The following is a 15,000-nucleotide window of genomic DNA, read 5'->3' as shown; positions in this document are numbered from 1 at the left end:
GGTGCCTGTAATCCCAGCTACCCGGGAAGCTGAGGCAAGATAATTGCTTGAACCTGAGGCAGGAGAATTGCGCCACTGCACTCCAACCTGGCAACAGAGCGAGAATCCATCTCAAAAAATAATAATAATAATAATTCAAGTTTTTATATAAGCTTGGTTATTTTTCACAATGTGTCATCTATGTTCACTTGATTTGGCTATTAATTTATTTGCTAGCACCTCACTTTAACAATTTCATTTCATGATACATTGTAATATGTGGCTAGGCAATCAACCCAATTTGCTTTCTTAGAATTTTCTTACTTGTGCTGTATATTTTGCAAATGAATATTAAAGCCACCCATGTTCTAAGGCCTTGTTGTAAGTTTAATTAATATTCATATTTCTTGCTTTTTTGAAAGGAGTCTTTCCGTATCTGTGAAAGAAGGATAAAAATAGCAGTCTTTTGATAGGATTATTATATGGATTAAATAACATACACGTGAGGGGTTTAATATGGCTTATCAACTCAGAGCTTTTTCTGACTTTACAGAAGGCTCTAAGATTTATTTGGGCTCTACCTAATTGTAATTCATTTCTGGAGTTTCCCAGATCCATTTTTAAGCAAGAAAAAGATAACTTTGGGATATTACCAATTCAGAAATCAAGCACATTGGAGGAGGAGAAGTGACAGCAACACCCAAGAAATGTCTCCCTGCCCTTGTTGCAGGATCCTCTAGTATTGTCATGACTAAATGTCCCACAGAATCGTCTACCCTCAGCCCCACTTCTGCAGTGCCCATTCTGCATAGGCAGCAGTGGTCTAGGGTTCAGATTGACGTTCACACTCACATGTCACAATAGACTGGAATCTGGCACCAGTTTTATTTAGCTTTATATAAGGATGCAGGACAGGAAACAGTGTATCGACATTACAGCATCAAACACATCTTCATCGGGGACCTTCCCACCACCTATGCGTGGCTTCCCAGCCCACACAAGACACACTCAACCATTGGTGATGAAAATAAGGGGGAGCTTGTGGACCACCCCAGCATGGGAAGCTCAGAGCAGCAACTGTCCCTTGTAGCAGCCTGTGAGCATGGCTTCCAGGGGCCTGCATGCCTGCTCACACCTCTCAGTCCAGATGCAGCTCACTTCCAGGAGGAGCTTTCACAGCACCTGACCCACCTGCCACGCCAGTTATCTTAACCCAGTACATTTCAAGAGTATGGTATAAGAAATAGTTACATCTGGGATCACTTTCTTATGGAGAAAAGATGTAACCTGCTATAGGCCCTTTCTCCTCACCACGCCACTCCCAGTGTCTGGTTCTCTTCCTGTCACTGCAGTTTTCTAGCAGGAATAGGCTTTAGAACCTCCTCACATCACTGAGGAAAGCCCGTGGCACTCCGTTTACCAAGACAACAGGGAGCCTAAGTGATATTCCTTCCACATATCTTCTGTTTTCACAGGGTGGGGCAAGATACTCCTCATCACCTGCTAGGGTCTCCTGCTGCTGCTTCTGGCCATAGGATTTTCACTCAGGAATGGGAGGGGTTTAGGCTATCACTGGTGGTTCTCCAAGCTCCCTCATCAGCACTGTTTTCCGCCGACATGCTTTCAGATTTGTACTCAATTTCTCCCAGTGTGGTCCCTGCCTCATCTGAATTTAAAATTCTAGCTCCCTGCATGTGGTCTCCTTGTGTTCTTCTTTCCAGACTTGGCATCTCAGCAGAGCCATTTCTGTTTTTGGGTACTCCTCCTTTTGAGGATGAACCCACCATGGTGGACATTTCTCCTTTCTGCCTTCGCAGGACTGACTGTTCTTTCCCCAGCAGCTGATATTGAGTAGATTTCCAATACAAGTTGAAATGTTCTTAAGGTTTAAGAAGTAATAAGATGGTGCAGAGTCAGTATGCTAAGATGATGTCAGCCAAAGTGCATATATTTCTACCCTAATTCAACAAAAGTAAATGTCACAATTTGCTTATCTTGACCCTGATCCTTTATGCAAAGCTTTTTTCCTGCAAAAAGTACAGTAGAGGTGGAGAAAATGGGAAAAGCTATGCTTATTTTTCCCCAAGAAGCAGGATTCCCAGTTTCTGTCTCAGACATGCTTGTGTCTGATCTGAGAAGAGGATTGTCTATTAATGCCGAAAATCCAGACAAGCAGTGAGCAATGGGAGAGTATTAAAGAATCAAAAAGCAGAGAGGGTGTTGCTTATTTCTTTCCTTTCTTTCCTTGTTTTACCAACATTTTCTTGGGTTCCCAGAATTAAGTGCTAGAGGTAGAATTAACTTTGAGATTAACAACACTGCTGGAATCTTTTGTAAAAAATTACAGTTTCATTATCATTTCACTGATTCTCAGTGGCTATTTGATAGAGCGTCTAGGCCTATTTTCTATATGGTTGCCTTGGAATGAGGGAGTATAACAGTAGCTCACATTGATTGAGCATTTGCTATGCGCTAGGTACTATGTTAAGCACTCTACAGGTCTTATTTAAGCATCATAATACCTATTTTAGGTAAGTACTGATGTTATGCCCATTTTACAGGTGAGAAAACTGAGGTACAGAGTTTAGGTATCTCAAGGTCACACAAGGTCAAGGCAGAGCCAGCGTTGGGCTCATTCTGGCTCCAAAGTCTATATTCTAACTCACCACACTATACTGTCTCTTATACATTAATTATCTGTTGTTGTTCCATAATGGTTATTAATATTTTAATGCACAATAGGGAATCTTTTTGCAAACCCAATTAATGGAGTAACTGTCTTCATATATATTGTGTTAAGGTTCTTAATTTCAGTCAATCCTTTTAATATTTCTTACTAAATTATTGATCTGGATGTTAAGAGGGAGAAAGGTACACTTGGATTGGATTGATTTCTTCTGTATCCTTAGAATAAATTTCTCATCAAGAAACTTTATTACCATCTTATGTTTTTATTTTCCATAATAAATTGTGGATTTTACTCCATCTCTGAGCTCTACCTGCCTCATAGGGCTTGTCTGGCTGTTTTATAGCAGCAAACATTGAAGCAGGTACTTTTACCCCATGAAAATCCCCAGCTGTAGTGCCCATTTCTAGATATCAAGGGTTGAACCATCTCCAAGTGGGTCTGACCCCACTTGTCTCGGTGGACTTCCCTCTGCATTCTTATGGGCCCCTTAGGTTTGCTGGCACTCAGGGGAAGAGGAGTGAGGTAAAGATGGTTGTTCTCTTTTGTCCTTTTAAATCTGAGTGCTCAATTCCCTTACCTGAATTTGTTAAGAGTGTTTTATGTTGTGAAGTCTTTAATCATAGAGTCTAGTCTATATACGAGAGGTCTAATCTAGCCCCAGGCTTTTCCGTTTTTCCCCCTAGTGAAATATTTGGGATGTTAGCCTCCCACCAGGATTGACTTATACTGAAAAAATGAGCCAACATTTTTTGTTACTGCTCTTTTGAGTTTCAGAAATTTGACTTTATGGTATCTCATTCTAAATATTTTTTCAACAGTATTGAGGTATTATTGATTCATGTTAAGTATTTATATCTCTCTTTCACATGTGGTTCAGTTTCAAAGTGTATTTCACCATGCTTTTTTTTTTTTTTGTCATCCTGTTTGTTTTAACAGCAAGTTTTGTCTGCCTACAGGAGAATATTAAAAAGTGAGCCTCCATATCCCCAAGAAATGAGTGCTTTAGCGAAAGACCTAATTCAGCGTCTTTTGATGAAAGATCCCAAGAAGAGATTGGGATGTGGTCCACGTGATGCAGATGAAATCAAAGAACATCTCTTCTTTCAGGTGAAATTATTGAATAGATAAATGGTTTCATACTCCTTGCCGTTTTCAGGGTCCTTGGCGTTCTTGGTGAAATTAGTGAACACAGTCCCCTTTGGGATCATTTTCCACTGGCATTTTCACGTACATTGCACCTTTTGTTTTGTTTTGTTTTTAATGATAGGGACCCTTTCAGTAGGGCCAAAATTCTACTTGTATAAACATTAATGGTATTTTTCTCCCTCAATGGAGTGGGAGTGGGGAGGATCATAATAGCATTCAATTTTCTACATACTGATTCATTAGAGTTTCTAGGTGGTGGTTTCCATTTATGATCTTGAGATCTAGCCATATGGACTGAGACTTTTACTGTACTTTTCACTTCTGTCTCAGTTCATGAGCTATTACTGCCACTATGTTTCACCTTTTAGATAGTGATTTCTTCACTTCCTCTTTTCCCAGAAGTAATCTTTAAAAATTTTAAATTTACCTATTTCTCAGTTACATATTCATGACACATAGAGTGTTACTCATTTATTTCCTTTGTCCTGTGACAGTGCTTCTCTTATTCTGAAAAAGCCTAATGAGACCATTCTACTGAGGACCAACTATATCTGCTCAGTTTAGTACAAAAAAAACACCAAAATATTAAACAACTGAGAAAAAACATTTAAATTAACTGAGTTGGCTAGTTATTTCCAGCCTCAGTCGTCAAACTGGGGATGCCACGGCTTTGATTTCTAAAACTCTGGAGATATGACTTTTAAATAACTTCATCATATCAGTAAGCCTGACCTAAATATTTATGGTCTAAAGGGACCATCTAGGTTTTATTTTTTATTCTGTAAATTAAGCTTTTACATTATTATCACCAAAACAAATGAAAATAATATAGCAAAATGAAGAAAAACTGTCAGTTAAGCTTCATGTTGTTATTATTTTTTAAATATATAAAAATAAATATTGATTAGAAATGAGTTATCTCTGCTCTTCTGTGCTCAAAAAAAGGCATATTTCTCTTAGTCTCTCAATGTAATTATTTTTTATAATACTACTGCACATCTTATAGAAGTTCAGTAACATAATGAGAAATACATTTAGAATAAAAGAAACTTCTCACTATATGCATTTCATAGATTCACATGGCTTGGAAGGATTACTCTTTGAACAAACTTTCAAATATCTTGTTCAGAAGTTTATCTCAAAAGTTAACAGTAAAATTTAAGAAACAAGTCGAGCAAAGTACACCCAATCATATTTTCCTAGGATCTTTTTCTCCATTGCTCCCTCTATTTGGGAATATTGCAGGATGTCTTTCATATTAGAGAAATTTCTCTTTTCAGTAGCTTGGAATAGTAATTTTAGATTACTTAATTGCCTTGACTTTTTAAATGATAGGGACACTTTTGGAAAGACCAGAATTCTACTTGTAAAGGCCTAAATGGCCTTTTTCTCTATAAATGGAGCGGAGGTGGAAAGGATCATAATAGCATTCCATTTTCTACATATTAAACATTCTCCTGCTAACAACATGTTTCTTTAAATTACCCCTTTCCTCTAGAAGTTTATTTTAATATATATACAATGGCCAAGCACAAGTTATGTGCTTATAATGGAAAACATTACAGCTGCAGAGAGAAAAAAACACTTAACTAGAAAGTCAAGAGACTGTGTTCAAATCCTGACTCTTCCACCAACTGGTGTTTGGGTGAAAAGGTTATTTCTTATTTCTCGGCCTCAGTTTCACTGGATCAAATAAAGGAGATGAACTAAATGATCTGAATTCCATTTTAGCTGAGAAATTTGAAGATCTGTGATTTAATTATTTTGTTTCTATTGCATCTACAAGACAGCATAATAAAAAACATTTTATGGGCCAGGCGCAGTGGCTCACACCTGTAATTATTTTGTTTTGGGTTTTTTGTTTGTTTTCTTTTTGGCTTAACACCTTTCTGAAGCACTTCGGGAGGCCAAGGTGGGCGGATCACTAGGTCAGGAGATCGAGACCATCCTGGCTAACACAGTGAAACCCTGTCTCTGCTAAAAATACAAAAAATTAGCCGGGCATGGTGGCGGTCGCCTGTAGTCCCAGCTACTCAGGAGGCTGAGGCAGGAGAATGGCGTGAACTCAGGAGGTGGAGCTTGTAGTAGTGAGCCGAGATCGCGCCACTGCCCTCCAGCCTGGGCGACAGAGCGAGACTCCGTCTCAAAAAAAAAAAAAAATTTATGGTAGTTGATTAAACTTACTAAATTTTATCAACCAAGAAGTGCACATTTTCATATTTTACTGTCACTGAAATCAGTATGCATGTTACAGTGGCCATCATCTTATATTCTTATGATTAATACTTTTTTCTTCTTAATGATACATAAAATAATTGTGTATCTTACTATCAGTAATGGCATCTTAGATTTGAAAAAATGTGGTAGTAGGAGACCTGTAGGATTTAATTCAGTAAGTGTTATCTGAGATTGTTTTAAATGATAGAAGGAGCACAAAGAAACAGAGCAAAGGGTTGGATTTCAGTAATATAACTCAGTAAGTGACCTAGAGGGAAAAGGGGCTTGCATTATTCTATGGGGGACATAAGAGGCAGTGTTTAAAATGCTTGAACACAGTTGAATAAGAAAAGAGTGATCACATCCATATGATGGTATCATTTGAACTTCTAGACATAAGCACATGCCTGATTTACAGTGGATTTATTTTCCAGTCTGTCTGGATGCCCAGGAGGAAAAGCAAGTGCAGGCAGAGAGCTAAGTAACACTGCCTCTAGAAAATAGGAACATTCTTTTAGAGCTAATATCCACATCTGTAGAGCCTTTGGAAACCCTTTATTTCAGTTTTTTATTTTGTTTTGGGTTTTTTGTTTTCTTTTTGGCTTAACACCTTTCTGAGGAGGCTCAGGACAAAAGTATTCTTCTGTTGTCTTTAAAGGTAAACTAGGGTGTCTTGGTGCCCCCCAGAGGACACTCTGAGATTCAACAGCGATAGTCTCATCTTTGAGGCACAGCATTGGTTGGAGCTATAAACTGCTGTGATCTTGTTTGGAGAAAATATGTTTTTTATTATTGATTTGAAATATGTTCTCTTATTTTTATCCTCTCTCCCTACCAGTCAAAATCCTAATTTATCTTTGTTATTCTTAGAAAGTACATTTTGACTATTGATTTCTACTTTGTACCAACTTTCTTTGTTTTAGAAAATAAATTGGGATGATTTAGCCGCCAAAAAAGTGCCTGCACCATTTAAGCCAGTCATTCGAGATGAATTAGATGTGAGTAACTTTGCAGAAGAGTTCACAGAAATGGATCCCACTTATTCTCCCGCAGCCCTGCCCCAGAGTTCTGAGAAGCTGTTTCAGGTAATTTCCCATCCTGTGCACATGCACATTGGCCATATGTCCTTTGAAAGAAAAGATTAAATTTCCCATATTGAAGTAGTTTTGTTGGCATCATAAAAATGGGATTCTCTAATATCCTCTAAATTATTAAATGCAGAAATATTGCACATTGTTAACCGAAGCTTATAGTTTGCTCAATAGCAGATATTGTTTATGCATTTATTTTTGATATAAGGGAAGTTTTAATTTTATACCTGAAATTTTATTTTTGTTCAGATTCTTTTATAGAAAATACAATAATCTTTTATTTTACCTCTATTCATATTTAAAAATTTTTATTTATATAGACAGGGTCTCACTCTGATGCCCAGACTGGAGTGTAGCAGTGCTGTCCTAGCTCACTGCAGCCTCAGACTCCTGGGCTCAAGTGATCCTCTCACCTTAGCCTCTGGGATAGCTGAGACCACAGGTGCAAACCAGCACACCCAGCTAATTTTTCTATTTTTTGCAGAGATAGGATCTTGCTATGTTGCCTAAGCTGGTCTTGAACTCCTGGCCTCAAGTGATCCTCCTGCCTTGGCCTCCCAAAGTGCTGGCATTACAGGCATGAGCCACCACGTCCAGCCAAAAAAATTTTTTTTTTTTAAGAAACAAGGTCTCACTCTGTCACCCAGGCTGGAGTGCAGTGGCATGATCATAGCTCACTGCAGCCTTTTTAACTGCTTGGCTCAGGGGATCCTCTTGCCTCAGCCTCCTGAATAGCTGGGACCACAGGTGCATGCCACCACACCCACCTAATTAAAAAAAAATTGTAGAAACAGGGTCTTACTTTGTTGCCTAAGCTGGTCTTGAACTCTGGCCTCAAGCGATCCTCCTGCCTTGGCCTCCCAAAGTGCTGGGATTCTAGGCATGAGCCACCGTGCCCCTCAACCCCCATATAAAAACATTCTTTAGTTCACAATGTTACCTTATTCTTTACCTTCAGTAATTAATCTTAACTGCTGTTAAAAAAAGATTTAGATTTTATATTTAGAAAAGGGCATTTGTCACACAAGATAAAATATTCTAACTATTAAATGGCATCAGAGCTTTGCTTCTTTGACTTCTATAAGTATACCTTTAGTATGGCTTAATCTGGCCATCCAGACGGTGTCTTTTCTTCTTTGCTTATCACTGTCTAGTATGTGACTGGGCACTTATTGAACATTTTTTTAAATGTTTGTTGATTAGTGAATGTTCTAGCTTGAACGGATTAATCATCCGTCTTTGTACCACTTAGCTCAGAGCATCATTCTGCCATTAGACTTTGTTCCTTTCCAAAACTCAATTTTAAATTTAATTATTCTGAAGATATTAATAAGAATCAAATAATTGCTAAATTAGAAACTAACTTTAGTGAGACTTGCCATTTTTCCAGTTTGAAAAACAATAGCATTTAAAGACCACTTTGTGGCTGGGTCTGGTGGCTCAGGCCTTTAATCCCAGCACTTTTGGAGGCCGAGGTGGGTTGATCACTTGAGGTCAGGGGTTTGAGACCAGTTCGAGACATGGTGAAACCCCGTCAGGCATGGTGGCATGTGCCTATAATCCCAGCTACTTGGGAGGCTGAGGCAGGAGAATGGCTTGAACGCAGGAGGCAGAAGTTGCAGTGAGCCAAGATCGCACCACTGCACTCCAGCCTGGGCAACAGAGCCAGACTCAATCTCAAAAAAAAAAGACCACTTTGTTTAATACCTTGACTGTATCCTTTTTTGAGAAGTTAGTTATGTTTGTAAACAAATTTCATCAGCAAACCAGGAGAATTTCATCTATGAGTCTGATTTTGGGGGTGGAATAGGGAAGAAGTCTTTTTCTACCTTTATTTTTGAATTGGTTTAGTTCTACCAGAAGATGGCATTATATCCTTCTGAACAGCATTTTTCAAATGATTTGAAATAACCTTGCATTTTAGATTGCAAATAAAATAAAATTAGACTCATCTCAACAAATATTTGAGTGTTTTTCTAAGGAAAAAAAGTCATTACAATCTAATCTGTGTTAAACTGGAAAACTGCAAGTTGTTTTTCTTTATCTTTCTTTGTCTTGTTTTTAGGGCTATTCCTTTGTTGCTCCTTCCATCCTATTCAAGCGTAATGCAGCTGTCATAGACCCTCTTCAGTTTCACATGGGAGTTGAACGTCCTGGAGTGACAAATGTTGCCAGGAGTGCAATGATGAAGGTATATAGATGTGGTAACTTATATGACATATTTGTAGGTTTTGTGAGTGTTTAAATACCAACTCTAATTAATGTTCTTAAGTCTAGTAATTCAACTAAAGTGCAATTTTAAAAGTGGGATATAGCAATATTTTCCCTAGAGAATTAACGTCAAGTTGAATGAACTTCTTTTTACAATTATAGAGAATTATGTATCTTAAATAATTATTTAGATGAAAATAGAAGTTACCTATAAAGATGAATTTTAGATTATAAATGTATTCTATTCCTGTTTATTAATATTAATAATTTTATTTTACTCTACAATTTTATTGATCCTTTGTGTATTACTGACATTTTCTGAAGTTAAATGATGTTGATTTCTTGACAGGACTCTCCATTCTATCAACACTATGACCTAGATTTGAAGGACAAACCCCTGGGAGAAGGTAGTTTTTCAATTTGTCGAAAGTGTGTGCATAAAAAAAGTAACCAAGCTTTTGCAGTCAAAATAATCAGCAAAAGGTATGACCATTTTTAATATAATATTCTTTCTTAGGTATTCATGAATTCTGTAAATTAAAAGATATTTATTTTAATTGAAACCAGTATTATATTGTAAGACTTTCTTACCCAAAGGTTTAACCACTTGGCTCATCAGTTGGTCCATTATACTTTTAGCTCTAATTGATATTTTCTGATAAAGTAATCCATTTTAGACATAAATCATAGTCTTATTTGCTTTTGAGTTTATCTAGAGAAAACGTCTTTGTGACAGTGACATATTTAATCAGGCTCACATAGTGATTTTGGCAGCCATTGCCATTTCTACTAGTTGTGTATTTGAAATATTTTTCTCTAAAATTATTTAGCAAGCTACTGATAGCTTTGAGAGCCATCTAGTTGTTTTGGTAACTGATGATTATTATTAAGATTGCATATTCTTATTACTCTAAATTGTCAGGAAAGTAGAGCATTCATTTCCTCATATGATTTGTACTTTTCTGACTCAGAAATAATAATTTTCTCCAGAATATTACTTTTTCTAGTGTGTGGTATAATTCATTACTTTCATGGAAACCTCATTACAGTATACTGTAACATGTATATTCTGAATGCACTGTAAATAAGACAAAATTAGTCTTGGGGCAGTACTGATATAAAAACTTTCTTGAAGAGACATGTGGATGCTAAGTGTCTCATCTTGCAGGATGGAAGCCAATACTCAAAAGGAAATAACAGCTCTGAAACTCTGTGAAGGACACCCCAATATTGTGAAGTTGCATGAAGTTTTTCATGATCAGGTATCCTACTTTTTTTTTTTTTTTTTCCCATGTGTACTAATTCACTTACAGGGTTGTACTTTTCACGCGTTTTGTTGGTGCTGCTGGGTCAGAGTCAGGGATATAGAACATCACCCAGCCACCAGAAAGGGCAGTGAAACCACCCTCTCAAACCCCTCCCCAACCACACACTGTTTCCCAACCCCAAATCAGGTTATCCCTTCACCTCTCATGCTTTTCTCACTCAGCAGTTAACCACCTATGACAGGAAGACGGAGGGCCAGGAGCTCAGTGGTGCAGTCACTGGCTACAATGTGCTTGTTGCCAGTGCCGCTTCTACCCACCATCACTTAATCCTGGAGTACCTCTCAGGACTCAGGAATTTTGAGCCTCCAACTTCCCTTTCACTTCTAGAGTAAAACTGAGAGAGCCTGGAGCCTAATTAATGCAAGCTAAAGGACAAATAGGAAGCAGAAAGCAAAGATACTCCTTTTATCTTCTAGCTCCAGGTGGTAAATTCTGCTCAGAACCCTGGCCAGATCATGCTGCCCCCTCTTCTGCTCTCAGTCCTGCTTTGCAGCAGGAACTATGGGAGGATGCCAGTGTGTCCAGTTCGTGTCTGTTCACCTCACACATGACAGAAATTGCTCCATTACACTTCTCTGCCCCTGAGACCAGGTGGGGTGATGCAGTCCTACTTAAGACAACTTGGAGGCACAAGAGCACAAACCAATCCTGAATGTGCTTTGCCCTAATTTTACCAATAAAGAAACTGAGATTTTGAATGTTCATAAAACTTGTCTAAGGTCACATAGCATGTCAATGCGAATCTAATAAGGAGAACCTGTACTCCAGTTCTGGGCTCTCTTTGTTGTGCTGTTGTAATATCTGTGACCTAGGATCGATGGGGCCCAGTTCTCTACCACATTGAAATATCCTCGAGTGCTATTGCCAGGAATGATACATCATGGTGAGACCAGGCAGCAGCAGCAGTAGCACCATAACCATAATAGCTGCTGCCATTTATTATCACATATCTTGTGTGGTCTAGGTTCTGTACCAGGCACTCTGCATGTATTGTCTTATTCAGTCCTTACCATAGGTCCATGAGGTGAGAAAATGGACACTCATAGAAGTTAAGTAACAGGTCTTACAGTTGGTAAGTGTGGTAAGGCTGGGATCTGAATCCACACAGTCCAACTTCAGAGCCCAACAAGCTTTTATTTACTTTAAACTACTGCCTTAGGGAAGGCAGAATCACATCTGGCAGTAAGCATCCCAAAATGGCATCATCCTCTACTCACTCTTTGGTTCTTGTAGTCAGAAAAGAAATGCCACTGAAGCAAGGACTCAGGGGGAACCGCTCTCCCTGATCCTCTACCTCCTCTTGCCTCATCAAGCCACTCGACACAAGAGGAGGTAATGAGTCCCCTGGCCACGAAGGTGCTTAAGAAGAGGCTCACTAGACAGTCTCCTGTTGAAGATGATATAGAGGAAATTCACATCATTCAAGGAATCAACGGGTGATCTTAGATGCTCTCCTCTGGGTTTGCAGCTGTGCCCATAACTACATCCCAGACAAGATACTTGATCTCTGACCTTCAGACTAATGTCAGGTCCCATGAACAACATTTCTAATTTTTTATTTGTGTCACAAATTAAGTAGATGTTTTGCTATTTATATATTCAGGAGTTACTAAAATATAAATTGTCACATGATATAATCCTATACAAACTAGTATAAATACATTATCAATCTAATATGCAGTTGTAATGTATCTTGGGTTTTCTCATAATGGTGGCACAGTTGCCTAGATCATCCCTGTATCCAGTCTTTTCTTCAACTAATGGGTGAAATTGGTTATGGTGGGTCTTCAGCCTTTGTGCAATAGCATAGTTCATTTTGTGTGCCATGATATGCGTTTCACGTACTCCATGAGTTTGCTATTGCTGCTGCAACAAATCACCACAAACTTAAAACAATACAAATTTATTATCCTGCAGTCTGGAGGTCAGAAGTCCAAAATCAGGCCCATTGGCTTAAAGTCAAGCTGTCACCAGAGCTGGTTCCCTCTTGAGCAGAACCAGGTGCACAGCGGGAGGTGAGTGGCAGGTGAGCCAGCATTACTGCCTGAACTCCACCTCTTGGCAGATCAGCGACAGCCTTAGATTCTCACTGGAGTACAAACTCTATTGTGAACTGCGCATGGCGAGGGATCAAAGTTGCAGCACTCCTTATAAGAATCTAATGCCTGTCCCACCCCACTACTGCCTCCCCTCGTCCATGGAAAAATTGCCTTCCGTGAAACCATTTCCTGGTGCCAAAAAAGTTGCGGACCTGGCTCATGCCTGTAATTCCAGCACTTTGGGAAGGTGAGGCAGGTGGATCACTTGAGGTCAGGAGTTTGAGACCAGTCTGGCCAACATGGTGAGACCCTATCTCTACCAAAAAATACAAAAAATTAGTCAGGCGTGGTGTTGTGCGCCTGTAGTCCTAGCTACTCTGGAGGCTGAGGTGGGATAATCCGTTGAACTTGGGAGGCGGAGGTTGCAGTGAGCCAAGACTGCACCACTGCACTCCAGCCTGGGTGATAGAGTGAGACCCTGTCTCAAAAAAATAAGAAAACAAAAAAGAAAAAAAATGTTGAGGATCACTGCTCTGGAGGCTCTAAGGGACAACCCATTTACTTTCCTTTTGTAGCTTCTAGACACCCCCCAACATTTCCTTGGCTGTGAGCCTTCCATGCATCACTCTAAGATCTTGCCTCCAGGGTCTCATCTCATACTGCTAACTCTGATGAATAATTCAGGATAATCTCACATCTCAAGCTCCTTAATTTACTAATCACATCTCAAAAGGCCCTTTTGCCATCCTTCTAAGGTAACAACCACAGGTTCTGGGCATTAGGACATGAACAACTTTGGAGGGCCATCATTCAAGCTCTACCACGCATACATTTTCTCATTGCTATCTGCATTTTATTGATAAGGATCCTAGAATTAATAAGATAAAGTAGCATCCCAAGATCATGAATAAATAACAGAACTGACCTTCAAATCCAGGTTGAACTCTAAATCTGTTCGTACACCACTGCAAGTATTGCCTTACATCTTTTTTAAAGCTCACCAGCCTACAGTTGTAGCAGACCTGCAAGCTCAACTTTATCTGATGTAGAAACTCAAGTTAGCTTGATGTCTAGTAGGCTGGGAGCAATTTTCTTGTTAGAAGGGTTGTTCACTCTGCAATTTGTCTAATGCTTTCAGGATAATGTACTTATAATTGTCTTTTTTATGAAGCAGTTTATTCTGAGTTTTGCTAATACAGAAAGAAACATTTTGTTTGTGAAGTGATGTTGGCCTTATAATGCATAGCACCTGAATTCAGTATATTGCCATGATATCTTTTTCTAAACCATTTGTGTTCATTTGAGAGCTGATTAAGTCCTTTGCTTTTTTTCTTTTTTGAGACAGGGTCTCTGTCACCCAGGCTGGAGTGCAGTGGCACAGTGACGGCTCCCTGCAGCCTTGACCTCCCGAGCTCAAGTGATTCTCCCACCTCAGCCTCCTGAGTAGCTGGGACTGTAGGCGTGCGCCACCATGTCTGGCTAATTTTTGTTATTATTTTTTGTAGAGATGAGGTCTCACTATGTTGCCTAGGCTGGTCTTGAGCTTCTGGGCTCAAGCAGTCCTCTCACCCTGGCCTCTAAATGTGCTGGGATCTATAGCCCTTTGCTTTTTGATAATTCCTGTATTATTTTTTGGAAATTATCCATTCTGACAGAAAAGAGCCTGGGTGGAGAAGAAGAGAAAGGATGGTAAACATATAACTTACAAAGTAACTATTAAGATAATATTGTTGGGATTAAAGCAAAAACCCATAGTGAGTTATGGGTATTTGTAATGAATATTAACAGGAACCCTGAAACTAATCTGTTGAGTCCTAACAGGAGGTTCAAAATGACAATATCAAACAATACCTTTTTAAACTTTTATGTTTTAATTTTTTTTGTACAGACAGTCTCACTGTGTTGACCAAGCTGGTCTTGAACTCCTGACCTCAAGCAGTCCTCCCACCTCAGCCTCCCAAAGTGCTGGGATTACAGGTGTGAGCCACTGAGCCCAGCCTCATTACCCTTTTAAAAAGATTAATTTGCCATTGGATGGGTGTGCCAGGCCTTGGATGGGTGTGCCAGGCCTCACATGGGCACACCCATCCTACTCAGTTGCCCATTCTACTCAGTCAGTATTCAGATTCTGTATTATTTAAAGCAAGTGACTTCACATTATTGTCACATTATTGTCAGCAGTTTAAAAAGAAAGATGTGTAAACTTGATAGAGAGGGTTGGAGTGGAATTCAAATGAAAGAATTAGCTGGATGCAATTGCACACCTATAGCCCCAGCTCATCGGGAGGCCTGAGATGAGA

The 15,000-nt window shown here is 39.1% G+C and overlaps 1 protein-coding gene across 14 annotated transcripts in view, besides 1 other annotated feature; it reads left to right on the top strand.

The window, feature by feature from the left end:
* RPS6KA5 (ribosomal protein S6 kinase A5) overlaps positions 1–15,000 on the top strand; it is a 212,781-nt gene that overhangs the window by 150,718 nt on the left and 47,063 nt on the right. For 12 of the 14 annotated variants that reach the window (NM_001322232.2, NM_001322228.2, NM_001322236.2 and 9 more), the window contains 5 exons: positions 3,625–3,775; positions 6,955–7,116; positions 9,188–9,313; positions 9,683–9,816; positions 10,502–10,595. In NM_001322232.2, the coding sequence (NP_001309161.1) occupies positions 3,625–3,775; positions 6,955–7,116; positions 9,188–9,313; positions 9,683–9,816; positions 10,502–10,595 (667 nt within the window). Of the gene's footprint in view, positions 1–3,604; positions 3,776–6,954; positions 7,117–9,187; positions 9,314–9,682; positions 9,817–10,501; positions 10,596–15,000 lie in introns of all 14 variants that reach the window. The other 2 variants (NM_001322227.2, NM_001322233.2) reach the window with 2 other exon arrangements.
* Positions 4,192–4,261: an enhancer, noted in NCBI's record as "active region_8883". NCBI's record gives its function as "activates an Ori minimal core promoter by ATAC-STARR-seq in GM12878 lymphoblastoid cells {active_cell/tissue: GM12878}" and the evidence as "EXISTENCE:reporter gene assay evidence [ECO:0000049][PMID:35858748]".

Source organism: Homo sapiens, chromosome 14 (genome assembly GCF_000001405.40).
Source record: "Homo sapiens chromosome 14, GRCh38.p14 Primary Assembly".
NCBI lineage: Eukaryota > Metazoa > Chordata > Mammalia > Primates > Hominidae > Homo > Homo sapiens.
This window is presented reverse-complemented; position numbering and strand designations above follow the sequence as displayed.